This window comes from Homo sapiens, chromosome 16 (assembly GCF_000001405.40).
Source record: "Homo sapiens chromosome 16, GRCh38.p14 Primary Assembly".
Classification (NCBI taxonomy): domain Eukaryota; kingdom Metazoa; phylum Chordata; class Mammalia; order Primates; family Hominidae; genus Homo; species Homo sapiens.
This window is the reverse complement of record NC_000016.10, coordinates 49,400,221-49,427,103: the sequence shown is the minus strand read 5'-3', so window position 1 is coordinate 49,427,103 and position 26,883 is coordinate 49,400,221. Positions and strand designations below refer to the sequence as shown.

The 26,883-nt window shown below is 48.9% G+C and overlaps 1 long non-coding RNA gene across 1 annotated transcript in view; it reads left to right on the top strand.

Moving 5' to 3' along the window:
* Positions 1-26,883, top strand: part of LOC105371244 (uncharacterized) — an 81,768-nt gene that overhangs the window by 26,988 nt on the left and 27,897 nt on the right. The window contains exons 3-7 of the long non-coding RNA XR_001752167.2: positions 12,215-12,365; positions 15,521-15,696; positions 16,233-16,287; positions 16,404-16,433; positions 17,639-17,755. This is a non-coding gene — a long non-coding RNA (uncharacterized LOC105371244). The remainder of the gene's footprint in view (positions 1-12,214; positions 12,366-15,520; positions 15,697-16,232; positions 16,288-16,403; positions 16,434-17,638; positions 17,756-26,883) is intronic.

Sequence of the window (26,883 nt, the reverse complement as noted above, 5' to 3'; positions counted from 1 at the left end):
GAGGCCTGAGCTCACCAAATTTTCCTCTTTTGATGTCTACTACTTTAGGGTGGGAGCTGCCTGTTACTTCTGTTTCTTCAGCCCCTTAACTGGAGTGTGGCCTGTAGTAAGTGCTCAGTAAACATCTGTTGAAAGAATGAGTGTTTGAATTCCATTTACAAAACACCACCAGACTATGGACTTTGGGTGATGATGTGTCAGTGCAGGTCCATCCATTGTAAGAAATGTGCAGCTGTGGTGCAGGTGTCAATAGTGGGAGGCTGTGTGCAGATGGGGCAAAAGGTATATGGACACTCTTGTTGTACTTTCTGCTCAATTCTGCTGTGAATCTACAATTGCTCTGACAGATAAAGTTTATTAATTAAAAAAAAAGACGATAAAACCACCAGCAGAGTTTTCATCTGAGTTTTGGGAGCTGGGTGGGGGAAGTGATTGGCACAGGCTCTGCAATGCTCATGGGCAACAACAGGGCCATTTTTCTGTCCCAATGCGGAGCCCTGGTCACCCTCCAAAGTCTCTACCCCATATTTAACTTCCACCCAAGGGCACCAAGATGGCCTGCAGTCACATTAAAAAGATGATGGATATGAATATTTTATCTTCTCTCCCTTCTTGTCAAAACCCACAATATTGCTTTCCATAAATCAATTTCACTTGTGCACTCTGTCTGGGGTGCGGCATGCCTTTATGTATTTAGTCTTTGATTTGGTCTCTGGCCTGCCTTTATGAACAGCCTGACTCTCAGAGACTCTTCAGAGCAGGGACATTCTGATGGTGAGCAGGTGGCTCCCTAAGTTGAGCAACTTCTCATCAACTTCATTGCTTTTACATTAAAATAATCATTTCAGCTGGGGCAGCGGGGGGCTGAACGTTAGCTGCTTAATTGCACCCACCTTTCAGCCCTCTTCTCAGAGACTGATTCCAGGGCTTTCTTAGCATAATACACGCTGGGGTCTGTAAATGCAGAAAGCGGCGGCCTCTTAACCAGCACAGCAGAGCCAATTGATGCATTTCTCCTGTTAAATTTACTGGCTTTATTGAAAGGTCTTTTGGGAGTTGCTTGCTCATTAAATACACCAAATACAAAATCTCTCTTAATACAGTATTGTCTTGGTAATTTAGAAGACTTTCCCAAAGTGAGCTCGGAGAGATGGAACTGTCAAAGCTTTTAGGAGGCCACACTCTCAAAGGTTGTGCTTCCTCTCATAAGCGGCTGCTCTGCAGCTTTATGATTTGGGGTGCCCTTCTGTCTAATCTAGTCCAAAGCATCACCCTCCTATTGCCCCACCCCATCCCCATTCGCCTCCCAGGTCAGTGTGTGGCCAAAGATATGACAGCTTCCAGAATCACAGAAAATTTGAGATCAGATTTCTCCACTGACTTTTACTTTTATGTGTTTATTCATTTATTTATTTATTAGAGGCAAAGTGTCACTCTGTTACCAAGGCTGGAGTGCAGTGGCATAATCATAGCTCACTGCAGTCTCAAACTCCTGGGATCAAGTGATCCTCCCACCTCAACCTTCCAAGTAGCTGGGACTACAGGCACATGTCACTGTGCCCAGCTAATTTTTAAAATTTTTATTGTAAAGATGGGGTCTTGCTATGTAGCCCAGGCTTGTCTTGAACTCCTGGCCTCAAGTGATCCATCCACCTCAGCCTCCCAAAGTATTGGGATTACAGGTGTGAGCCACCATGTCTGGCCTCCACTGATTGTTAGAATTGAGGAGTGGAAAGATTTAGAAATACACAATCCTTAAGCCAGGTGTTGGTTCTGATTTTGTGTTGTGGCAAGAGGATTAATCTGGTGGTGGAAGTGGGGAAGGGGACAGTGGCTGGTTCTTCCCACTCCCAGATACTTTGGGACCCCAAAGTAGTAGTGAGAACTTGGGACATGTGGCCCTGAGTCAGACCCTGGCCACACCAGCTGAATTCGGCTTCCAGCGGGACGTAGCGGGGTGGAGCGAAGGTGCGTCCCCCTGACCAGGACAGAGCCACAGAAGGAACACTGAGCTCTGAGCACTCCTACTTGATGTGACAGGTTGACAAAGTCACTTCATAAGTTCTGACTGTCAGTTTCTCTCTAAGTAAAATCAGGTTAGAAATTCCATTCCCTCTGTTATAAGTTTGGTTAAAAAAAAATAAAAGATTCCATTACATTCCTAAAAGGATATGGGTCAGCCAACAACGCAGGAAGTCTTGGATAATTTTAACAGAACAGAAATAGAAGGGAAAGCCCAGAGTGAAGGGGAGGAAAGGGAGCTTGCACACATTTAGCCAGACAAGGGATAACAAGTGCTATGGGATGCTCTGAGCAAAAAGCTCAGGACGTGCTGGTGCAGTGGTGGCTACTTCATCTCTTCACTGCTTCTCTCTGCCCCTTTCCTTCCAGAACCCCAGTTTTCTTCAGGTCTATATGGCGGCTGCCAGGAGACCACAAATTAGTGTAGCTGTCCCCGTGTGTTCCCTTCCTCACCCCTGACGACCTGGGCTGGGCCCCTGTCCTCAGTGGATACAAAACTTGGAATTCATCCTCCATGATTTTCTTTCCTTTGCCTGCCACCCATTCACACATCCTGTAGGATTCGATGATGAGGAAACGCAGTCTCAATCTTGCCCTAAGGAGCACACAGTTGTTGAGTGAGATGTGCCAGGCTGTCCTCTGTCCCCGATTATTGGCTGCCTCCAGGAAGGAGATCAGAAGACCTTTGCCCACTGGGACTTTGCTTGGAATTTGCAGTGTCTCACACTGCAGGAGGTTGAGGCTTCTACACTACCCTCTGGCCAGGCCATGGATCTTGCTTTACCAATGGAAGGTGTGGCCACTGTGAACAGAAGGACCATCGCGTGGTCCTGCCATTGCTGTGTTCTCTCTGCCATGGGAAATGCATGTCCCGAGTGGAGATGCTACTTCAGCCTTGATCCTGGAAGGAAAATGACATGCAGAATAAAGTCAGGGATGATGTGTGGCCAGAGCAGGAAGTAAATCCTTATTGTTGTCAGTTGGTGAGGTTTGGGGCTGGTTTGTTATCTAAGCATATCTTAGCTAAAGCTGACTAATACACACTGAGACCAGAATTACATATTATAAATATGTCTAAATAAAATGTGTAAAATGTAGCCACAGCAAGTGCTCTGATGGAAGGTCCCTGAAGCCATGACAGCACATGTTAGAAGAAGCTGGCCCAGTGAGGCAGCAGCAAGGGTTAAGGAGGTGAGGAGAAAGGGGAACAGCATTCTAGGCAGAGGGAACAGCACCTGCGAGGTACCGACTTGGGAGGGACTGGGGGTACATCTGAGGAACAGAAAATAGAGGGAGTGGGAGTGAGAGGGGCATGGGTGTGGGATGAGGCAGGGGCTTATGGAGCAGACTGAGGATTTAGGTCTTTATCCTAAGAGCAAGGACAGTGATGGAGCATTGAAAGTGGAGTGCGGACATATGAGACAGGACTTTTTTTTTTTTAGACAGAGTCTCCCTCTTTCACCCAGGCTGGAGTGATCTTGGCTCACTACAACTTCCGCCTCCCAGGTTCAAACGATTCTCCTGCCTCAGCCTCCTGAGTAGCTGGGATTACAGGCACGCACCACCACTTCTGGCTAATTTTATATTTTTAGCAGAGATGAGGTTTCACCATGTTGGCCAGGCTGGTCTCGAACTCCTGACCTCAAGTGATCTGCCCGCCTTGGCCTCCCAGAGTGCTGGGATGTTTTTAAAACCTCACTACGCTGTAATGTGGTAGGTGGCTTTGAAGGTGGGGTGGGGCTAGGGGAGGCAGAACAGAAGCAGGGAGACAAGGTAGGGGGTACAGGGAGGTCCGGGGGGCTGCCTCAGGGCTTGGGCTCTGCTGGGAGCTCAGCACCGAGTGGTGGTCTGCACTGAGCTGGGAGGTGGGACTGTGGTGTGAGCAGACCCCAGGCAGAGCCCTGAGTGGCAAGGGAGTGCTAGCAGAGGGAGCAGAGGCTCAGGTTGATCTGCAAGGCTCGGTGAGTCTCCTCTGGAGCTCTCCAGGGTCCTCCAGAAGAGGAGCAATCGGGTTATTCTTGCACTGAGCCACCATCTGTCTCTGTCACCTTGTGAAGGATGATGGGTGAACTATCCTTGGGTCCCTACTTTGCACCGGGCACTGCATTCACTCATCATGGGGGATGGAGGTCTTAACCTTTATTGTGCCATGGAACACTTAGCAGTCTCAGAACAATGCTTTGAAATGCATAAAATAAAAGATATGGCATTGTAAAGGAAGCCAATTATATGGAAGCACAGTTTTTAAAATATTTTTTAAATCGTGAAGTAGGAATATGTTTCCTTGTTAGCACCTTACCTCGTGTCAAGTGACTATCATTTTGCAGCAGTGATAAGCATAAGTTCTGTCTAGAGGTATCTGCAACACTGTGGGATGATGAGGAAAATGTCTGTGCTTTCTTGCGGTGATGAAGTGGAAGGCACTGATCAGACTATTTTAATTTGTTACTAAATTTGTAATTTAAGGGAATAGTAAATTTTAGTTAGAGGTGGGTGAAAATAAAGATGTCACCTTTTTTTTAATATCCTAGTTCACAGACTCCATGAATCTGAGCCTCGGTTTCCTCATATTGAAATGTGGGTCATAGTATCGTGTTAAGAGCTGTTAGGAGATTGGGGAACAAATCTGATGTTTCATCTCGAAGGTCTGATATCATCTGTCCAAGACCCAGGTGAAGGCTCCAGGCGAGGTGCTCTGATTTGGAGTAACCCAGAGTTGAATTCCACTTCTCATGGCAAACCTCGCCTCCCTCCTGAACCTTGCCTCTCCAGCTGGCCCTCCCTGTCAGGGCTTCCCAGGCTGCTCCTTCCCATCCTTAGCATGTGACCCAGGGCACTGCCATGGACATCCTCCTGAATAGCAGCCACTGCTCCTAAGAGTCCAGGCCTCCTGAGGCATTCTCCTTGCCTTTGGCAAATCCATCTGGAGTGAAGAGCAGCTTCCTGAAATCCAAGGATCGATAGGAACAAACCCAGGTGCACACCCACTCTTGTGGCCAGGTTGGCTTTCCAGAAAATGGAATCGATGCCTGGACTGTCGGCGCCTCTCCCTGTAGACACACTCAGTGGGCAAACCCAGCCATTCCAAATGGTGCTGATGGAGGCAGCAGACATGGTCTCTGCTGCTGCTGGCCCATGTGGCCTTGACCCAAGCCCTCCAAGCCTCCATCTTTCCACCTATGGATTGGGCTCCTCGTCTGTTCTGCTACCTTTCCCCCAAACCATCAGCAGCCCGCAGAGCACTGTGATGAGGGTGAGGGCCCATCCCCACCACGAGCTTGCTGAGAGACCGTGGCCTTCACCCCCAGAGCCCATGTTTTCTCGCCCATGAAATGGGCTCATGATCCATATTTCTCAAGGGCTGTTGTGTGAATTAGAAATGTGCTTGATAGCTCATCCTGAATGCTTAATATGCATCAAAAATGTCATCTGCCCCATACAGGACTCTTGACAGACTCACCCTGCCTCTGTCCAATCACACTGCTTCTCTGTTGTGAATCTTGTGATTCCCATCTCATTCAGCTCCTTGCAGCAGCTTATAGAGTCCTCAGTGATCTGGCCCTCTCCCTCCTACCCCTTCCCCACCCACGTTCACAGCCCCTCCAGCCACGTTTTCCAAGTGCTCACTAAGCCTATGCCTGAGCAGTGCCCTTGTGCTCGTTCTGCCTGGAGCACCTTCCCTGCCTGTGCCTCATGCCTCGCTCCTTCTCATCAATTAGTTCTGGGCCCAACATCATCTCCCAGAGAGGCCTCTTGGACCGATCTGCTTGGAATGACTCCTCACATCTCTCCACCCTCCACCTTGCTTTAGTTTTCTTCCTGATCCTAATGGTCTCTGAAATGACAGTGTTTATTTACGTTCTTGTGTGTGATCTTCCTTGCCGACTGCCAGGGGCACCCCACGAGCACAGGGACTCTGTCTCTTGTTTGCCGCTCCTACAGGCGCCTGCTAGAGAGCCTTGCTCATAGTTGGAACCCCAAAATATTTGCTAACTATAAGAAGACATTTTGGAGAGAATTGAGAAGAATCAAATAAGAACTAGGTGTTAGATAATGTGAAGAAATTAATAATTTGGTTCAGTGTGATAACGGCATTCAGGTTAGGATGAAAGAAGAAGCCTTCGCTGTTTGTTACAAGCTGCAGTATTTACGGGTAAAATGGCATGTCTGGGATTTTCTTTCCTTTTTAAATTTTGTTGTTGTTGTTGTTGAGATAGTCTCTCTATGTTGCCTAAGCTGGTCTTGAACTCCTGGACTCAAGTGATCCTCCTGTCTTGGCCTCCCAAAATGCTGGGATTACAGGCATGAGCCACTGTGCCCAGCCAATGGAATTTTCTTTAAAATAGTCCAGTTTAAGAAAAAAGTATGATGGGGGTGAGAGGAGACAAAACAGCAATGGCCAAATGTTGATAATGATGAAAGTTATGAGTACACTTGGGTTAATTCTATTATTCTCTTACCTTTGGTAGGTGTGAATATTTCCATATTAAAGAATTAAAAACGTATATTTGTGGAACTCATTGAAGAGTGAGTGACTAGTGCATGAAATGCACTTAGCACAGAATCAAACGCACAATAGACATGCTGACACTGGGCTAAGCACTTTGCATGCATGACCTTACTGAATTCTCCTGATGATGCTATAAATTAGGTATTTTTATTATCACCATTTTGAACATGGAGAAGCTAAGCTTTCTGGAGGTGAAATAACTTTTCTTGGTAGAATCAAGACTTGACTCTAGAACCTGAGCTATTAATCACTGGTTGTCTATCATCTGGGCTAAGTTACAGGGGAGACTCAGCCCGTGGGGGCCAACCCTACAGGGGCTTGGAAGGCTGACAGCATAAAAGCAGCCAGTTTTATGCCTTGGACATGAAGCAGCCAGTGTCTGTGCCTTTCCCGTGGGGGCTGGAAAGAGGACTGTTGAGGACAAATAAAAGAACTCCTGCCTGACCCCGTGGAAAACAATGTTTTCCTAAGCATACAGTGGTTTGTGATTGAACAGCAGGTGATGCTGCTCCCTGGTGTCACAGTAAGAGCAGAGTTAGGCATGGCTAGGGCTGTGTGGCATCCCAGGAGGAGCACTAGATTAGCAGTTCCAAGATCATCTCCCTACTCTAATTCTTAGATGCCTTCCACGGCTCTGGCCAAAGTGATCAATGTGGAGGAGGCCTTGTCATCCAAGCCTAGCCAGTCAGAGCAAGTCAAGGGGCATTTGTATGACCAGGAAGCAGCATTCTGGCTCCCTCTTTCTGGGCTTGAAGCCAGAAAGGTGTAAATTCAGGGTGGCACAGCCCCTCTACTATCCGAGGGGAGAACTTGTCAGAGAAGAGAGCCTGCAAAGGAAGGAGAGCTGAGCTGATCCATCCAGCTCCTGGATCAAGCTTATCTGATGTCAGGCTGGCCATGGACCTGTCAGTTAACAAGAGCTAACACATTTCCCTCCTTGCTTACGCACTTTGGGTTGTGGTTTTTGTCACTTGCAACCAAAGGAGTTCTAATGGCTGTAATATATTGGCTGCTTGGGAGTTTGAAAACCCATTTGTGGATGGGGAGCTGCTGCAAGTTTTTGAGCTGAGTGGCCAGCCCTGAGCCTCACTCCAGACAATGTCTATGGTGCTTCTTGGAGGAAGAGTGAGCAGGCTGCCCACACTCACCCTGGCCCGGCTCTGCCACCTTGTCTCTGCCTGTTACCTCTGTCTGCCATGGAAGGTGAGGCTCTGAGCTTCCACCCGCCCTGGTGCTGGCTTCATTCACTAGCATCTTCTCTGTGAGAGAACGAACCTCACATCAAAGTGGCGTGGCAGCTTTCCTTAAACAAAACAGTCCTTCCCCTCCCTGCTGCCTTGCACAGGCAAGAAACCGCATTTAACCACCTACAAGTTTCCTTTCATGGTCTCCTGTCATTATGGGAATGCTTTGATCGGGCGCCGGGAAGCGGGAGAGGGGGAGGCGCACTCCACCATCACAATTAACTTGTTAGAGACAATGACTCCCAGCCAAGATGCCCGCCTGCATGGGGTGTTGGGCAGGCATGATGAGAGCCGGGGCCCGTGATGGGGGCCCGGGGCCTCTGGCGTGGAGACCATCTGAGAGGGGCCCCAGCTCTTTGCTGGCTCTGTGAAGGTGCCAGTTGGTGGTCTTAGTTCACAGGGTGGCCACAGTGGCTCCATGCATCCCCCGACACCAAATGCCATCTTGGCACTGTGCCACACTGAGGAAGCCAAGAGCTCAGCCCCTGGCACCAGAGAGCTTCACTTTTTGAAGCTATCGTCAGCTTCCATCACTGCTCTAAGCCTGTCCCTTATCTGTAAAATGGGGCTAGGAAAAGGATGCCCATAAGGGGTAGCGGCATGTCTGGGCTCTCTGTGCATCATTTCTATCCTTATCAATAAACAGTAGGCTTCTCCCCAGGAGTCCTAGAAGAACAGCATGGCAAATACTGCCACCACAGTGATCTTGGGTGTGAAAAACCTCAGCCAGGAGGGTTTTGGGGTTGTGTGAGCCACTGGCTTGGGCTCCTTCCCTTCTCAGGTCTGTCTCTGGCATGTGGAAGGCGGGTGACCATGGAGCCCCTTCCCTAGCAGTGAGAGTCGCTGTTCAAATCCATTCTCCCAGATCCTTTGACCCCCAGACTCAGGGGAATCCCCGGACTTTAGGACTGGAAGGCCCTTCGGGGTCTCCAAGTTCCCCGCTCCTCACTGCCAGCCATGGCAGCCATCCTAGGATGGCTCACCCTTGCCTTGAAACTCACACGGTTGAGACCACAGAAAGCCCAGCCCCTGGGATTCCTGAAGACTTGAGGTGGTGGCTATGGTCTTCTGGTTGCTCTGAGAGACTTGCCTGTCTCCCCTTCACTGCCGCCTCCTCCAGGAAGGCATCTGAGAGGATCAGTGAAGCCTCAACTACCCCACGGGTTCTGCGCTCTGCCTTCCTCCCCATGCCCAAGAGGGAGTGGGTTTTGAGGCACCCTGCTCTTTGGCCCTGTGCGCAGCTCTCCTGGCAGAGTGGAGAGCTGGTGGTAATTGACAGGGAAGTGATTGGGTATTCTTGTGTCTCTGGCCTTAGTAACATCAGCATAGCCCTCAGTGTCTACTTTTCTCCCTTCCCCTGCCACCCCTGGGTTCTCTACAGATGGTGGCTCTGGTGAGCCCATGGTTCTCTCCTGCTAAGTCTCTCTGTTCCCTGCCTTGTTTCTCTCCATATGGTGGCCCTGATGAGCTGTAAGAAATGCCAAGCTGAACCTCTCACTCTTCTGTTTTATTTATTTTATTTCATTTTATTTTATTTTTTTTAGAGATAATGTATTGCTCTGTTGCCCAGGCTGGAGTGCAGTTGTTCAATAATAGCTCACTGCAGCTTCAACCTCCTGGGCTCAAACCATCTTCCTACCTTAGCCTTCCAAGTGGCTGAAACTACAGGTGTGTGCCATTACATCCAGCTGTTTTTTTCAAATTGTGCTTTCTATAGAAATGGGGTCTCACTGTGTTGCCCAGTCTGGTCTCAAACTCCTGGGCACAAGTGATCCTACTGCCTCAGCCTCCCAGAGAGCTGAGATTATAGGCATGTGACACTGTGCCTGGTCATTCCTCTGTTTTAAACCACAAAACTCCTGACTAGTCTGGTTTCTGCCTGGGAGTCCACCTCATACCCCGAACCCATTCTTCATAACTCTCACTTGGGCCTTTGCACCTGCTGCTCCCTCTGCCGGAAGCCTCTCTTCTCCTGCTTCAACTCTGCCAGGTTGAAATGCCTCTTCCTGACCTGGCTCTCCCAGCGGGGGTCTGAAGCTGTGGCCTCCGCAGCCACCCACAGGCCACCTTGCACTATCCCCTCCCAGTACCTTTTCTCTTCTTCTTCTTTTTTTTTTCTTTCTTTCTTTTTTTTTTTTTTTTCAGGCGGAGTTTCACTTTTGTCGCCCAGGCTGGAGTGCAATGGCAGGATCTCGCCTCACTGCAACCTCCATCTCCTGGGTTCAAGTGATTCTCCTGCCTCAGCCTCCCAAGTAGCTGGGACTGCAGGCGTGTGCCAACATGCCCAACTAATTTTTGTATTTTTAGTAAAGACGGGGTTTCACCATGTTGTCCAGGCTGGTCTCGAACTCCTGACTTCAGGTGATCTGTCCACCTCGGCCTCCCAAAGTGCTGAGATTACAGGCGTGAGACACTGCACCCAGCCATACTTTTTCTTATCTGTGTGGCCATATCTCCCCCGCCTCCCTCTCTGTTGTGCGACTGCCCACCCCATAAGGGCAGGGAGGGTCTGCACTGCTCCCCACTATACCCCTGGCTTCCAGGGTAAGACCTGGTCTAGGGAGGCCCTTCCCCACCTGACACCGGTCCTGTCCTGCCAGGTAACCCAGGAGACCCCCGAGCCGAGGCCTGGTATCTGGGTGAACCATCCTGGCTCCATTGCAGCACACTATGGCAGCTGAATAATTAACTCTCCAATTATAGGCCCATAATAGAGGCTTAATCTGGGGCTCGTTGGTAATGAGCCTATTCACAGGCCTTTCATCCAGGCCCCAGCCCTGCGCCGCTCAGAGAGCCCCCGCCTTGGCTATGTGTCAGAGTCCACCCTCCTGCTCACCGGGGCCTCGGCCCTGCACCCCTAGCCTGGCTGCAGCCCACCCCCTGGCCTTGAGGTGTCCTGGGCTGTGTCTGCGGTCCCAGGTAAACCCGGGGAGAAAAGAGCATGCTCTGACCTCTCCTCCCAGGGCTGGGTGGGCAGCAGAGCTCAGAGCCTGCAGCAGATGCCTCTCCGCCAGGCCAGGATGAGCCTGGAAGCTACCAGGAAAATGTGCCCCCGGCGCAGAAGGCCCCCCTCATTATGGAGACACACCAATTGGCTCGGCCCATGAAAGCCTTCAGGTTTGAGAACGTGAAGACTTAATTGCCTTATGGACATGGAAAGAATGGAGGGGCTTCTCCAGGGAGCGGTTCCTTGCCTCGTGCTTTCTCTCTCCCCCACTGGATAATGACAGGACTTATGACTGATTAAAGGGGGAAGACAAACTCCCCTCTGGGGGGCCAGTGACAGGTTCCACCTACATTTAAAGCATGCCCCCTCCTCAACTCCACTCCTCCTCCCACCGACTTTTCAGAGGTGATTTTTAATTGCTTTTTCCCAGGTGGAGAGAGGGAGTGGAGATGAGGGGTGCGCGGGGAATTTCACATTCGACAGCGGCCCCTGCATCTTGGTTCTTACTGGGGCACGCTGTTCCTGTGGGGCTTGGAATCGCAGTAAATTTGTCGTCCAGGGAAGCATGGAGAGCAAATAGGCACACAAAAACTCCCCTCTCTCATCCCTGGGCTCAAGGCTCGTGGTTCTGTTCCTGGGCCCTCTGGCCTCCCCTCCCTCTGCAGCCCAACCTGCTCCCTCTGCTCTGGCCACACAGGCCGCTCGTGCTCCTTTGGGCTACCCAGCTCCTCTCGCCTCTGGGCCTCTGCCCTGAGCGGTGCCCTCTAGTTGGAAAACACAACTTCCTCCATCTTTGTAGGGCATCCTCCTTGTTATCTAGGTGTGGCTGCAAAGGGCCCTGACTGCTCACCCTGCAGAATGTCCAGTGCATCCTTTGGAGGCCTCTCCCATCATTTTGCCCTCACACTCTCAGTATATTTATTTGCATTTTTATCAAGCGTCGGTCTCCCCTAACTGAAATGCAAGCTCTGTGAGAGCAGCCTTGTCTGCTCGGTGGTTACTCACGGTCTAGGGCAGTGCCTCGTAGGTAAATATTTGTAGAAAAATAGAAGAGAGCTTCCCCTTATGGACCCGCAAGTGCTCTTTGGGCCCCATGGGCCTGGCAGAAAGCCTCACCTCACCGGCAATGGGTCCCTCCTAGGACTTTACCGTTGACAATGGTGCCTTCTGGAAGTCACCTCCATTTCCAAGCTGGCCCGGTGGGGCCCAGATAACGAAGCTGCTTTAACATAAATAATTTGCTTCTGAGGTGTAAGAAGTGGGGAATATTTTTAGAAGGCCTGCCCTCCTAGGGGAAGTAAATGACTTATGAAAACGGGATTTTTCAAAGTGGCCTTCAAGAGAAAAGGGAGCCGTGTGTGATGGCCAAAATGGAATTCTATGAATTAGTGCGACTCATTATTCTGGCCGTACGCACACAGAAACACGCACACACACACACACACACACACTCACTCACTTTTCCTCCTGCCTTCCATTTCATGGTCTTAGCTCGAATCTGAAATAAAACCCCGGCAGCCCTCCTCCCCTGGCCCTCAGCGGCGGCCTGTCTGATTGGATGCCTCCCACAGCCCTGAAGACCAGAGCTTCAAGGAGGAAGCCGCCAGGGACACGCTGAGTCCTCGCTTCTTAAAGTGCGCCCGTAAGTTACCTTGAAATGTTATTTTTTAAAAAAAAAGTATTTTAGGTTCAACAGACACTTGGGTTCCTGTTAACAACTCATTTAAGGAGAAAGTGGGGGGAAGGCATTCAGATCAAGGCTTCTTTGACAACGTGAACCTCCTTACTTTGAATCCTTACATTGTCGATGGGATGAAAGATTTCGTGGAGACGCAGATGGGTAAATGCGCAGGTGAGAAAGGACAGATGTTCGCTACAACGGAGACGCAGGGATCTTGGGATGAGCTTTGTCTGGCCAATAATGGAGAATAGATATTGGAGGGAGGGGGGAGTGGGAGACCCAGAAAACCAAGACACAAAAACCACTTTTGTGACCATTGTGTTTCCACTGGAGTCTTGATCTAGGGAAGATGTGCTGTTTGGAGAACTAACAAGATGACCGACTGCTTTGATGGGGCATGTTCTGAAAACCAAGGTCTACAGAAGTCATCCATGGCTGGCTCCCTGGGGCCTTTCTCCCCTTTTCTACAAAATCTGGCTGCCATGGAGGCACAGATATGTTTTCTGCCCATCACCCCCCAAAAGCCCCAGACAATCAGCTCAGACCGTCTTTTCTTGAAGGTTCATGGTTGCGTCCTGGTGCCCACAGGCTCAACTTTGAACTTCTCAGCCAGGAGCCAAGGGCTGCCATGAGCTAGCTCTACCTTGCCTTCTCTTCCCAGTCCTCACACCTCCCCAAGACCCTACTCCCACCGGACCAATCTTCTCCCTGATCCCATATTATTCTTTCCTCCTCCATGGAGGTCCCCTTATCCAAAGATTCTCCTGTCTACTTGTCTGAGGTCTGCTCATCCTGGACAACCTGACTCCCAGGAGCCTTCTGAGCCCATCTTCACTGAGCTCTTGTAAGTTCCAATTCTATGTTCCTTTGATCCATCTCATTGACTGTCTTTCTAGTCTACTCTCCCAAGAGGACTTTTTAACTCTTTCAAAACAAGGGTTCTGCCTGGTAGGTGCCAGCAGATGGCACAAGACCAACAGAGTGGGCACAATAAGAAAGTAATGGCCTCTTCCAAACAGCATGAAGTGGCCAGGCTGTGGACCAGAGGGTGCACATGATATGGTTCACCACCCTCTCTTGGAGATCTTCCATCCTTGAGGCTCAGGAGCAGAACTCAAGAGAAACTGCCACCATAGTGCTGTCACCCTCTGCTGACCACCCTGAAACCTGGAGGCCTGCTTATCCCCTGGGGCAAGACCCAAACTATCAGCCTCTCTATGTTGTCCCAACTCTTTTTTTTTTTCTAGAATAGTTCATTCATTCAATAAAATTGTTGAGTGGCCCACTCACTGTGTGCCAGGCACTGGGAATCTGGGGGTGAGTATCCTATACCCAGTCCATTGTCTTGGTACTTACAGACAATGAATTAAGAGCCACAGAAATGACTGATTACAGTCAGAATAAGTGCAACGACAGTTTAAGTGCAGGCTGCTCTGAATATTTCGATAGACCTAACAATTGCTTCTCAAGGTTGCTGTTTTACATCTGGTGGGTTTTGAGCAGGCTGCCCTACAGCAGTGGCAAAAGGAGCCATAAGCTGCCTTGATGGGACACTTAATGGGATGCTGAGCCTAGGGGGACTGATGGAAGAAGGTCAGTTCTCATGGTGGGTCTGAGGCGAGGCTGGTGCTCTGAGTGCTGGTGGAGAAGTATCTCCAGGCAGGGACTGTACCTGGAATTCTTAGGAATGTAGAGGAGGTCAGAGCAGGAGCCAGCTGTCTCCCCAACTTAGGCCATAGACAGAAATGTCTCAACATCCTCTGGTGCTAAGTGCCTTCTCCTCTTTAAAAGGAGGGCCTTCTTTTCAACAAGCTCCCATGTCCCATGGAAAGAGTCCTCCAAGCCTTGCTAGCATCACCCTATTGGGTACCAGTTACTCCCTCACTGGCTGTATTTTACTTCCTTGATTTTTCTATTAATGAAGCCAATGAGCTGTTTTGTATTATGACTTCTTCTCTAATGTTTATCTACTCTACATCATGGTGAATTCCAGGAGAATTAAAATTATGTCTAGTTCTTTTTGGATATCAAGGATCCTAGTGAGGGCATAAACCAGATAAACAAGTATCTGGCATGCATGCCACCACTTCTGAATCCAGTGACCATGGCAGACATTATTAATCAATCCTGATACTCATTTCTGCTGTGCCTTGATATGGTTTCAAAGTACCTCCTCAGAATACTCTTTTCTGGTTACCCTTTGGGGGAAGTCACTCCTCCTCTGATTTTTTTTTAATGACTTAAATCATTCTTTTCTTCACAGTGCTCTTTCACTTGCAATTACATATTTTTAAAGGCTTATTTAAGGACTGTTTCCCCAACTAAGCTGTAAACTTATGGAACCATGTCTGTCTTTGCTCATCATTGCAGTGGGGTGGTGAGCCCATCCCTTGTCCTGTGGGAAGAGCTCAGTGCATGTTTGCTGCAAGTTGACTGAATGCTTGAGTAAATGAGTGATTTAAAGAGGACCCAGGTTTATCATCAAAATGCCTGGCTTAATGCTGGCTCGGTAGCTTCCTAACTGTGCACTTGGACAGGTCCCTTCCCTTCTCTGGGCATCAGCTTCCCCATCAGTAAAATAAGGATAAAATCTTTCCTTTTGCAGAGTTGCAGTGGGCATCTGATGGTGGAAAATAAGTGAAAACATTTTGTAGCTCAGAGGCAAACGCTGCCAGTGGTGATTATTGGTGTGATTTCTCCCCTTTTCTCTGCTGCAGGGCTGGGAGCTGTTCAAGCAGAGGTTTCACTTTTCTGGAGCTTTTGAAGGCTCTGGGACACAGACTGCCCTCCTGAGCTTGGGGGCCAGGGGGAATTTTATCTTGGATTCGGGTTGGTTTGGGGGATGCTAGCAGGCTGGTGTTCAGTGCGGGGCCCAGAGGGTGCATGCCGGGAGTGGGCAGCTGCTCCTCCCCTCCTGCCTGGGTCCAGGGTGGCAGCCTCTCCACTGCTGGGGCCCTGTGGGGAGGGGGCCTGAGGTCCTGGGTACTGAGCCCTGCCCATGGGAGGCATGCACGTGACTCTGGCCTTGAACATTTAGGATGCAGCGTGGCATCACTGCCTGCATGGGTGAGGAGGGAGGGGCCACTGTGTGCTGCACTCCTTTGTTGTTTCTACAGCTGGGGCCAGGCAGCCCCTTCCCTTTGGGGATTTGAACCCCTGGAGCCCGTTTCCCTACAAGGTGGTCCTTCTCTGGCCAGTGAAGCCTGCCTAATGCACCCTGGGGAGGCTGATGCCTTAAGCAAAGTGGCTCGAGCCGGCCCTGCTGAAGCTGATCCCAGCTGGCCTGGAGCGGGTAGGAATTTGTGTGTGTGTTGTAGCAGGGGATTGGGGGAGCTCAGGAATGGCCAAGTGCAATGGCAGGACCCTGACTGGCTGTTACCAATCCCAGAAAGGGGCACGGAATGGTGGGGCTGGCCAAGACCCAGTGACTCCGGGAAACAGAGAGCTCCACTCCCCTGTCCCCTGACTCTCAGCTGGGGTGGGTGGCAGGGCCCAGCAGGAGTCAGGCCTTTCTCCCAGAAGGGCAGGGCCCATAACTTGTCCTCCTAGAGGGCCAGTTCACTGGGGAAGATGGGTCCTGGTTGCAGAGAAACCAGGCCCATTCTCCCTTGGCAGCCAGAGATCTTGAGTTGTGGGGGCAGGAAGCAGAGGAGGGCCTGGGAGTAGGTCCCCCACAGGCAGGTGGGGCTTGGGAAGCTTGAGAGTCTTTTTCTGCCCACTCTCCTGTGCTGTCCCCATTCAACCACTCAGCAAAGCTAGATTCCACCCACTTCCCATCTCCCGCCTTTGCCTGGGGTGCCCTCATCCCACCTTTTATTTCCCTACAAGGTCCAATGCAAATGTCACCACCTCTGCAAGTACCCCTGTGACTCCTCCAGAGAAGGTCAGTTGCTGCCCCTTCTTGGGTCCTACCCTCTTTTTTTCCCCCCATTACTAGGGTGTTCTTAGGTGAGTAATTATGAATTAACGAGGGCATTGTTTTCTTCTGTCTTCCTCTAGACTGTGAGCTCCAAAGACATCATCATTGTGGTCAGTATCTGTCATTCCTGCCTGCCTTGCCTCCAGGTCTGCTTCCTTCTGTAATGGCACCTGTGGTCTCCAGTCCTCACCATGGCCCCCAGTGATGCTTGGCTCCTGGTCTCCACACCCTTGTGTTGTTCCCTCCCACACTGACCAGGGCTGAGTTGTGTGACTAACAGGACATTACAGAAGTGAGGCAATGCAGCAGGGTGTGTGACTTCCCAGGGGACAGCAACAAGGGCCCTCTAGCTTCTGCCCTGTTCCCTTTTGGGCTGGTTGCTCAGGCGAAGCCAACCGCCATGTTGTCAGGACACTCAAGTAGCCCCATGAAGAGGCCCATGTGGAGAGGTGTTGAAACCTTCAGCCAACAGCCAGCACCAGCTGGCCAGCTGTGAGACTAAGCCACCTTGGAAACGGATCCTCCAGCCCAGCCAGTCCTTTGGATGACTGCAGCTCTGCTGACAGATTGACACCAACCTCATCACAGACCCAGCTACCCCACTGTGTTCCTGACCCACAGGAACCATGTGGGATGATACATATTTGTTATTGTTTGGGGAGAAATTATTAGCCAGCAAAAGAACCAATAAGTATCTCAGTTCTCCTCAGAAACTACCCTTCGTCCACTGTGTGTGGCCTTGGTAGAACTGGCACTTTAGGTGCTCCATCTTCCCTGGGCCAAGGGATGGGGGCCTTGACCCTAGAGAGGACAATGAGACCCTCTTTCTGGAATTTGTATCTTGAACCAGAGAGACTAGACCAGGAAATGATTGGACTGATTTCCAGAAGCTACTTGACATCACGCACACACACGTAGGAACACACACACACATATACGTATATACATATATACATATAAACACACACGTATGCACACCACATGCACATGCACCAATACATATATAAACATACATACATATACACATGCACATATATTTTCCTTTTTTTGCCAAAGTTAGGTGCAGCCATTGCTAGCATCATCTTCACATGTCATCAGAAACCACACCACTCATATTAGGCCCTGGAACACACGTCATTCAGTAAGTGCTCAACCAGTGCATATTGGGTAAATTAAAATCCTAGAAATAAGAATGAAGTCAGGGCTGCTTCTTGTGATTTTGACTTGTGTTTTGTTCATCGTCTTGGAGAAGATTTTGAAAGCCTGAGATTGATGACCTTTGTTCTCTGTCTCCCTCCCTTGCCCACCTTCCCAGAGGAGAGTAGCTTTGCGCTCAGTTACCTGCCACAGAAAGGTTCTGCTGCCAAGCAGGGAGTTGAAGGGATCTGCAGACAGCCTGCCTGTGTTGGTCTGGAAGCCCATGCTCTTTGAGGTGAGAACTGGGGTGAGAGGAAGGCATAAGCCTCAGAAGAAAGCATGGCAGTGGTGGGGGTAGGGGGTAGAGAAGTGGTTGTTGTGAGTGGAGACTTTGTGAACTTTTTGGGCTGTGACCTGCAGCAATTCAGCAGTGACCAGTATAGGTTGGCACCTACCCCAAGGTATTGCTCTGTCCAGGACCTTGGGGGTGTAAGAGACGGAGCCCCACTAAGGGATGGAAATTGAATTTCCACCAGTCCAGCTCAACAGGGGCATGAAATCAGATTTTTAGTGATTTGATTTAGGGGGCTCTGCCATTTCTCCTATACTCAAGTTTGTGGAATAAGTCTCAAAGCTACTACAGTGGCAGGAATTTTCATTTTTTGGTCTTTGTTCATTACTGTATTACGAAGCCTGGCACATTGCCTAAAACACAGTAGGCACTCAATAAATGTTAGTGCTTAAAGGCACATGTAGAAAATGAAAATTTCCTGGGTGCCTGCTAAGTGCTAGAGACTCTTGAAACTTCCCTTGGATTCTTCTTTTCACGCCAACACTTGAAACTTGGTATTTTCTTTCACATTTTATTTCTCCTCCCTTCCTTCCTTCATTTCTTCCTTCTTCCCTTCCCAATCCTTTTCCAGCTGTCTGAATGTATTTGCATGTGTTCTTGTAAGCAGTGTGTTGTTGTATGTGTGTATTTTCAGTTTGTGTTAAGACTAGAGTGTCCCTTCTCATCCTGTTTCCCATCTTTTTCACTCACCTTGTTTTGCCATCCACCAGCACCCAGACATTCCTGCCAGTGCTAGTGTCCTTAAATAGATCTCCTGGGATAGAACTTTGGAATATACGTCCAGGAGTGGGGCTGCTTGCTAGGTCCCTGCAGTGTCCATGTGTAATTTAACCTAGAGCGGCTGCAGTGGCCCACACTCCTACTGCAAGGCATGAAGCTTCCTTCGTTTCCACGTCTGTGCCAACATTGGCCTTCCCTAGCTTTCTAACATGTTTCAGTCTCATAGAGTGGTACCTCATGGTTATTTTAACTTGCATTTCTTGCCCCGATTTGGAGGAAAAGAATTGAAGTCTCAGAAAAGTGATGTTAGTGAGTAGCTGGGCTTGTGTTCATCTACCCGAGGCTTAGGCTCGAGGGCCCGGCTTCCCCTTGGATAGGCTGACGGCTCTGCCAGCAGCCGGGCCAGACAGCGTGGACACCGTCAGGAGAGTAGCCTTCTGCTGTGATAGAGCCCCACCTGGTGGCGCAGGAAGGGAAGGGGAAGGGGAAGGGCAAGAGGAGGGAAAGAAATGGAAGGGGAGAAATTTACTCCAGCAGCTGCACAAGGCCACGCCCTGCCACAGTCATTGCACACCTGGAGGACATGCGCCAGGCCTTAAGGGACTTAGGTTTAGCCTCTGCCTCTGGGAGGTGGAAGGAACTAGAATAGCTTCACCATTGAGGAGCCTATTGTTTTTAGCAAACGAAACCGGAACTTTTTTTTAAACAAAAAACACTTAGTATATTTCTTTTTAAAATGTACTTTTAACTAAAGTACAATATACCCATATAAAGGGCATAAATCCCAAGTGCACAGCTCAATGAATTTTCTAAGCTAACTGGCCTCCGGTGGATCACATACCCCCTCTTCCAAGGATAGCCACCATCCTGACTTCCAACACTATAGATTAGGTCTAGGTTCTATTTTTTTTTTTTTTTGGCCTGGGTTGAAGGTTGTATAAATGGAACTCCACAGGTGTTCTTTTTTGTATTTTGCTACTTTTGCAGAATACGTTGTGTATAATGCATCCGTATTGTTTGGTCATTCTTGTTTTCATGCGGTATTCCATTGCATGATTATACTGCAAGATATGCTTTCTACTGTTGACTGATGGATATTTGGGTTGATTCCAGTTCTTGGTTATATAGAATAAAGTTGCTGCAAAAGTTAGCACATGTCTATTGGTGCACACATCCATTGGCGCACACGTCTATTGGTGTACACGTCCATTGGTGCACACGTCCATTGGCGCATACGTCCATTGGTTCATACATCCATTGGCGCACATGTCCATTAACACACACGTCTATTGGTGCACACGTTCATTGGCGCACACGTCCATTGATGCACACGTCTATTGATGCACACGTTCATTGGCGCACACGTCTATTGATGCACACGTCTATTGGCGCACACGTCCATTGGCACACACATCTATTGGCGCACACGTCTATTGGCGCACACGTCCATTGGCACACACATCTATTGGCGCACACGTTCATTGGTGCACACGTCTATTGGTGCACACGTCTATTGGTGCACACATCCATTGGTGCACACGTCTATTGGTGCACACGTCCATTGGTGCTTACATCTATTGGTGCACATGTGCATGCAGTTCTGTTCAGTATGTATGCATAGGAAATACCAGACCATAGAGGAGTGTATATTCAACTTTACTGGATGCTCCCAGTTTTCCTAAGTGGTTGTGCCAACCTGCAGGGCAATGGCAAGAGTGTGAGAGTTCTGATTGCTCCAGATTCTCACCAATGGGCTTTGCCATTGCCAGTCTTCAGCCATTCTAGTGTGTGCGTAGTGATTCTGCATCGTGTTTTATAACTTGCATATCCTGATGATTAATGACATTTTTTATGTTTATTGGTCACTTGGCTATCCTCTTTTGTGAAGTTTCTATACTAATAGAAGCTTTTGCCTATTTTTTCCACTGAGTGACCTGCCTTTTTCTTACCAATATATATAGGAGTTAAAAATATATCACCTGGATAGGAGTCCTTTGTCAGATATGTTGTCAGAAGAAATATCTTCTCTTGCTTGTGTTGCTGGCCTTTTCACTCTCTTAGTGATGTCTTGGATAAGTAGAAATTCTTTTCTTTTCTTGAGACAGGGTCTTGCTCTGTTGTCTAGGCTGGAGTGCAGTGGCATGATCGTGGCTCACTGCAGCCTTAACCTCCTGGGCTCAAGTGATCCTACCACCTCAGCCTCCTGAGTAGCTGGGACTACAGGCATCCACCACCATCCCTGGCTAATTAAATAAAGTTTCCTTTTGTATAGATAGGTCTTACTATGTTGCCCAGGCAGGTCTTGAACTCCTGGCCTCAAGTGTTCCTTCTACTTCAACCTCCTAAAGTGCTGGGATTACAAGTGTGAGTCGCTGCACCTGGCCAGAAATTCTGAATTCTAATATAATACAATTTATTACATTTTTCTTTTATTATTGGAGCTTGTTGTGTTGTGTTCAAAATCTTTTTGCCTACCCCAAGGTCATGGAGATTGTCATCTACCATTCTTCTAAAAACTTCCACAATCTGCATCCATCTGAAATTGATTTTTGCATATGGTGGGAAGCAGAGGGTCAATATTTTTTCCATATGGATATTTAATTGACCAGCCTGATTTATTGGAAAGACCATCATTTCTCCACTGCACCGCAGTGTCACCTTTGCCATAAACCAGGGGATAGTACACGTGTGAATCTGTTCCTGGTATATGTGTTTGTCTGTTTCTGTATCTGGTAGTAACTGTTTTAGGGAGTGCAATAGAATTATACTATTCGTAAGGCAATTTCAGAGTCTGTAAAACACCCGTTTAGAGTGTGCTGCAGGTGGTGCTGTCTGCTGATGGACGCTGGCTTGGGGTTGTCTGATAAAAATTCTTTTCTCAATGCAAGCTGTGAATCTTAGGACTCACTGTGGGCTCGCCTGGTCAGGATGTCAGGAACATGAATCTAAGGCTTCTTATGCTTGTGAGGTCCAAGAATAAAAGCACTCTGCACCCACAGAGGGAGCCATGTAGCCTCAGCTGTTTTGAGTGGGACAAGGTCTCTTCTCTGCTTTCATTTCCTTTCCCTTTTCCAGTTCACGCCGAACCCCAGAAAAACCTTCAGTCTGGCGCTACAGGTGCATCTGGTGTCTGAGAGGTGGGCTTCCCACAGCAGTTCCTCCTTGGAGGTTCTGGAGGCACCAAGCAATCTCTTGAGGATGTGGCATTCAGCTCAGCTGGGGCTGGGCTAGACCTCCTGCTAACGTTACTTCATGAACAGGGTTTTTGTGTTGATGTACAGGTCTCCAAACAGGGGCCTTGGGTTTGCAGAGGGAGAAGCTCCCCAGGCCTGGCTCTGAATGTACCACTGGAGAGGCAGTGGGATGGGCCTGCCTCCCAGGGCCATCAGCCTGGGGCTCAAGCTCTGGCACTTTCACTGGGCACAGATGGGCAGCAGGGTGTGGCTGTGGGGACAGGTCGAGGAGAGCGTTAAGCATGTGGGTTCCAGCAGCAACTCTACCATGAACTCAGGGGAATCATAGGGGGATACTCCACCCATCCCTGGGCCTCTGACTCCACCTTTGGTCTCTGTATTATGGGTTGGTTGTGTTCTTCCAAATGATGTGTGGAAGTTCTATCCCCTGATACCTGGGAATAATCTTATTTGGAAACAGAGACTTTACAGATATAATCATGTTAATAGAGTGGGCTCTAATGTAATAGGACTGGTGCCCTTAAAAAGAGACAGAGGCACATGGAGAAGAGGGCCCTGTGAAGATGGGGGCAGAGACTGGAGTTGTGCTGCCACAAGCCAAGGAATGCTTGTGGCTGCAAGAAGCTAAAGAGATAAGGAAGACTCTCCCCCAGAGGTTTTGGAGGGAGCATAGTCCTGCCAACATCTGGACTTTGGACTTCTACTCTCCAGAACTGTGAGAAAAATGCCTGGGCTGGGTGTTGTGGCTCACACCTGTAATCCCAGCACTTTGGGAGGCCAGAGCTGGAGGACTGCTTGAGTCCAGGGGTTTGAGACCAACTGGGCAACATGGTGAAGCCCTGTCTCTACAAAAAATAGCTGGGTGTGGTGGTACATGTCTGTAGTACCAGCTACTAGGGAGGCTGAGGTTGGAGGATTGCATAAACCCAGGAAGTCAAGGCTGCAGTGAGCTGTGATCATGCCACTGCATTCCAGCCTGGGTGACAGAGTAAGACCTTATCTCAAAAAAAAAAAAAAAAAAAAAAAAAGAAGAAGAAATAATCTGTTGTGTTAAGCCACCCAGTTGTCGTACTTCATTCTAGCAGCTCTGAGAAGCGAATGTACCCTGTCTCTGGGCTTGCTTCTCCAATCTGTCCTTCACCACATCATTTCCTGCTCCAAACCCATTAGTGGTTCCTCATGACCCCTGGAACATCATGGATACTGGCAGCATCTCCCATCTAACCAATTCTAACCCAAATCCTGACTTGTGCCTTTCTCTCTTTTGCTCTTTCCCACTGCATTTCATGGCACACCCGACAGTCACTCAGGCCAAAGGATGGCTCAAGGGTCATTCCTGAGTCTTCTCCCTCTTGTCCACACTCAACCTGGTGACAAATTCTTTCAGCTCTACTTCCAAAATACATTCTCAATAATTTGCTTCTGTCATGGCCATCCTACTTTAAGCCTCCAACCTTGTCTTTCTTGAACTGCACACTAGCCTCTTGAGGTAGGCTGATTGCAGAATTGCCCACAGTCTTGGACTACTCCCTGCATCCAAGTTATTTGAAACTCTTTCCTTCTATAGGTACAGGTTATTTCTCCATCCTTGAATTTGAGCTGACCTTGGGACTTGTGTTGGGCACTGAAGACTAGAGTGAGGTGGGAGTGATTGTGTGCCATTTCTGAGCCTAGTACTCAAGAGACCTTGTGTACTTCTTGGAATGCTGCCACCATGAGCACAAGCCCAGGCTAGCTTGTTAGAGGAAGATCTGCATGGAACAGAGGCCAGCCAGCCCAGACAAGGCCACACTAGACCAGCCAGACCCAGTTAACCCACTAGCTGACTGCAGACGTGTAACTCCAGCCTAGCTCAGCTAAGCCTGGCCAACAAAGATCAGCAGAGATGCTCAATTGACCAGTGGAATCATGAGAATTTGTGTTGTTTTAAACTATATTTTGGAGGTTATTTGTTACACAGCTGTAGCTGACTGATATACCTCCATAATCATCTCCAGGCTTTCTCTTTCTTTCCCACAGAATATTTTCTCCTCTCAGAAGCCAGAGGGGCCTCTCCTGTACTTATTGCCCTCCAACATGATTTTCTGTTGCAACTAGAATGATCTCCAAACTCAGGACCATAGCCTCCAAGGCCTGACCTGATCAGTTCTCCCAACTCTCTCCTTTGTTCACTCTGCTTCCACCACACTGACCTTCCTGCAAGTCCCATGAACATGCCTTGGCTTTTGCCATCCCCTCTGCTGCAGCTGTCCCTTCAGGTCTGCTCGTGGTGGCTCCTTCTCATCTTTCAGGTGCCAACCCAATCACTTCCTCCAGGAGGCCTGGCCTGACCACATTGGCTAAAGCCATCCTCTCCTACCCTCCTCCCAGTCACTTTTCTTGCATTCCACCATTTTTAGTTTCTCATTACTTGCTAAAATCTTTGTCATTACTTGCAAAAAAAGCCTTTTGCTGAAGTGCATATTATTTGTGTCCCCAACTAGAACGTAAGCTCAAATCAAAGGAATGCTTTGATTCACTGCCGTGGCCTTAGTAGTTATAACAGTTTCTGGCACATAGTAGGTGTTCAATAAATATTTGCTAAATGAATGAATAACAAATGAATAACAATAACCTTCGGGGGTGAGGGGAGCCTTTGTCGTGAAGCTTGCAAACCCTTTGAGCATATTATCTCCTGCCACTGTGCTTCCTGTTAATCATCCACTCCATCCAGACTGACCTACCTGCAGCTTTTCTGCCATGCCACGCTGTCTCTGGCCTCTGAACCTTTGTACATTCTGTTCCCTCTGTCTGCTCTTTCCTCCTATACAAAGATCTTGGAAACTCCTATTTATCCATAAAAGTGTGACATTAGATATCTTCTCCTTTGAGAAGCTTTTCCATCATCTGCTGTTCCCAGTCCATGGTGAAGGGCCTCCTCCCCCTGTTCTCTGAGGACATTTGATTCCCTTCACCTCACTCATCATGTGGTGCTCTCAAATAGCTTGTTATTCCTCTGTCTTCAGGACTGTAAACCGCATGTGGGCAGGACCAGGTTTTCTTAATGACTGCATCCCTGGACTCCCATAGGGGCAGGGATGACACACCCATAGGTGGGTGCTTAGTAACTATGTAATGGCTGAGTGTTAGGATTGAGGAATATGACTGGAGGCCAATGGACTAGAGGAGATCAAGGTCTGCCCTCTTTCTCTGACTGCACATGAATCGAAACCTGTGAAAAGTCAGGGACAATGTGGGCCCTGGGTGGATTTGGAGAAGCTGAGAGTGGATGCAGCATTTGGGATTACACACATCCTCCTGCTACTACCAAGCACAACACAGTGAGGAGAGCTCCTGATTAAGGCCAAAATGCTGGCATCTCCCTCAGCTTCTCTGTGACATCAGAAGGGCTGGGCTTCCCTTTTTTCTGAATACCTTTCTCACATTGGGGCTCCTAGTGAGTTGTGGAGGAATGGAACTGATGTATGACTCCAGCTCTTCAGAAAATGATCCAGGGGTCTTAGTGGACCACAGGGGAAGTATAGCACATCAGCCATGTAATACAGCTGGTGGAGGGGAAAAATGAATACATAAAATCTACATGTCATCTGGAAGTCAGTCCTTATTACAAGAAAGGAATCCAGCCACTGGCTTCATGCCTTATTCTGGGTCCATTTTTGGCTATTGCATTTTTTTTTCTTTTGAGGTGGAGTCTCACTCTGTCTCCCAGACTGGGTGCAGTGGCGCTATCTCAGCTCACTGCAAACTCCGCCTCCTGGGTTCATGCCATTCTCCTGCCTCAGCCTCCCGAGTAGCTGGGACTACAGGAGCCCGCCACCATGCCTGGCTAATTTTTTGTATTTTTAGTAGAGACAGGGTTTCACCGTGTTAGCCAGGATGGTCTCGATCTCCTGACCTTGTGATCCGCCCGCCTCGGCCTCCCAAAGTGCTGGGATTACAGGCGTGAGCCACTGCGCCCAGCCGGCTATTGCATTTTTAAAAGGGACACACTAAGGATACTGCAGAGATAATCAAACTGAATTATATCACAGAAAACTGTGGAAAAAACAAGTCTGAAGATGAAATGGCTAAATGGTCACTGTCACATTACATCGCTATGGTTAATATATCTGACATTTAACTTTTTAGGGCCATTTTATCTGTTGTTTAATTTGTTCCTCATCACTAGTCCTGCCTGAATGTGAATATTTACCAGGCAATGAAGGCTAGGGCCATCAATGCAGGATAGAGGTTGGCGGTGCTCTCCCTAGCTGCCGAGTCTGTGATACTGAAGTGAAGGCCTCTGAGGATGCTTTCAGATTTGATTTTGGTTGAGTTAATATTGACGAAGTGCCTGACACTTGTGATGCTCAGAAAATTTGTTTCCTTTCACCTTTTTGAAGCACTGTTTCTACCCAAGGGACTGGTATTTGCTGGAGAGAGGGAGTATCGCTTAACCCTTTGCAGCTGTTTCCTTGGATTCTGGCTTGGGTCTCACTGTAGTTCGGTCTAAACATCGCTTGCTGGATCCCGAGTGTCCTGCTTAGTAGCTGTGTGACTTTAGGCAAGCTACATGGGCTCATACTTCTCTGGCCTGCCCGCTCCTTGGAGGGGTGTTGTATTCCTTAGTGGTGACTGCAACCCTAGGGTGGGCTGGCGTGGGGTAGGGGAGGGTGGGTCCGGCAGCCCCCAGGGCCTCTCTCTGAGCCCCAGTGGCAATGACTTTCAGTGGAGAGACCTACTTACCTTCAAGAGACTACTTTAGAACCTCAGGGTAGGATATGGAAATTTAAAAGTACATGGAAGGAAAATCCCTGCTATTTTAGTATACGGAGTCAGGGAGTAAAACCTGCTCACAAGACAGACTGGAGTAGTGGCTGCCCAGCCGAGATTCTGTACCGGAGTATCTCTGGGGTGTGGCCTAGCTCTTGGAGGCCCAGAGATCATTAGATGTTTAGGTTTGCCATGAGCAGATGTGGATTTGGTATTAGCAGCTTTTCCAAGGGGATTGACGTGCCTAGTTTTGGGGATCCCTCTCAGAAAAGCAGCGGCTGGAAAATCAGCTCCTCGTCTACCCCAGTGAACTACGAAACAGCCCACATTTGTATGGAGTTCTTGGCTGTCACTGACTGTGCTCCCTGCTTCACATGCAAGCTCTCATGTGCTCTTCACAGCACT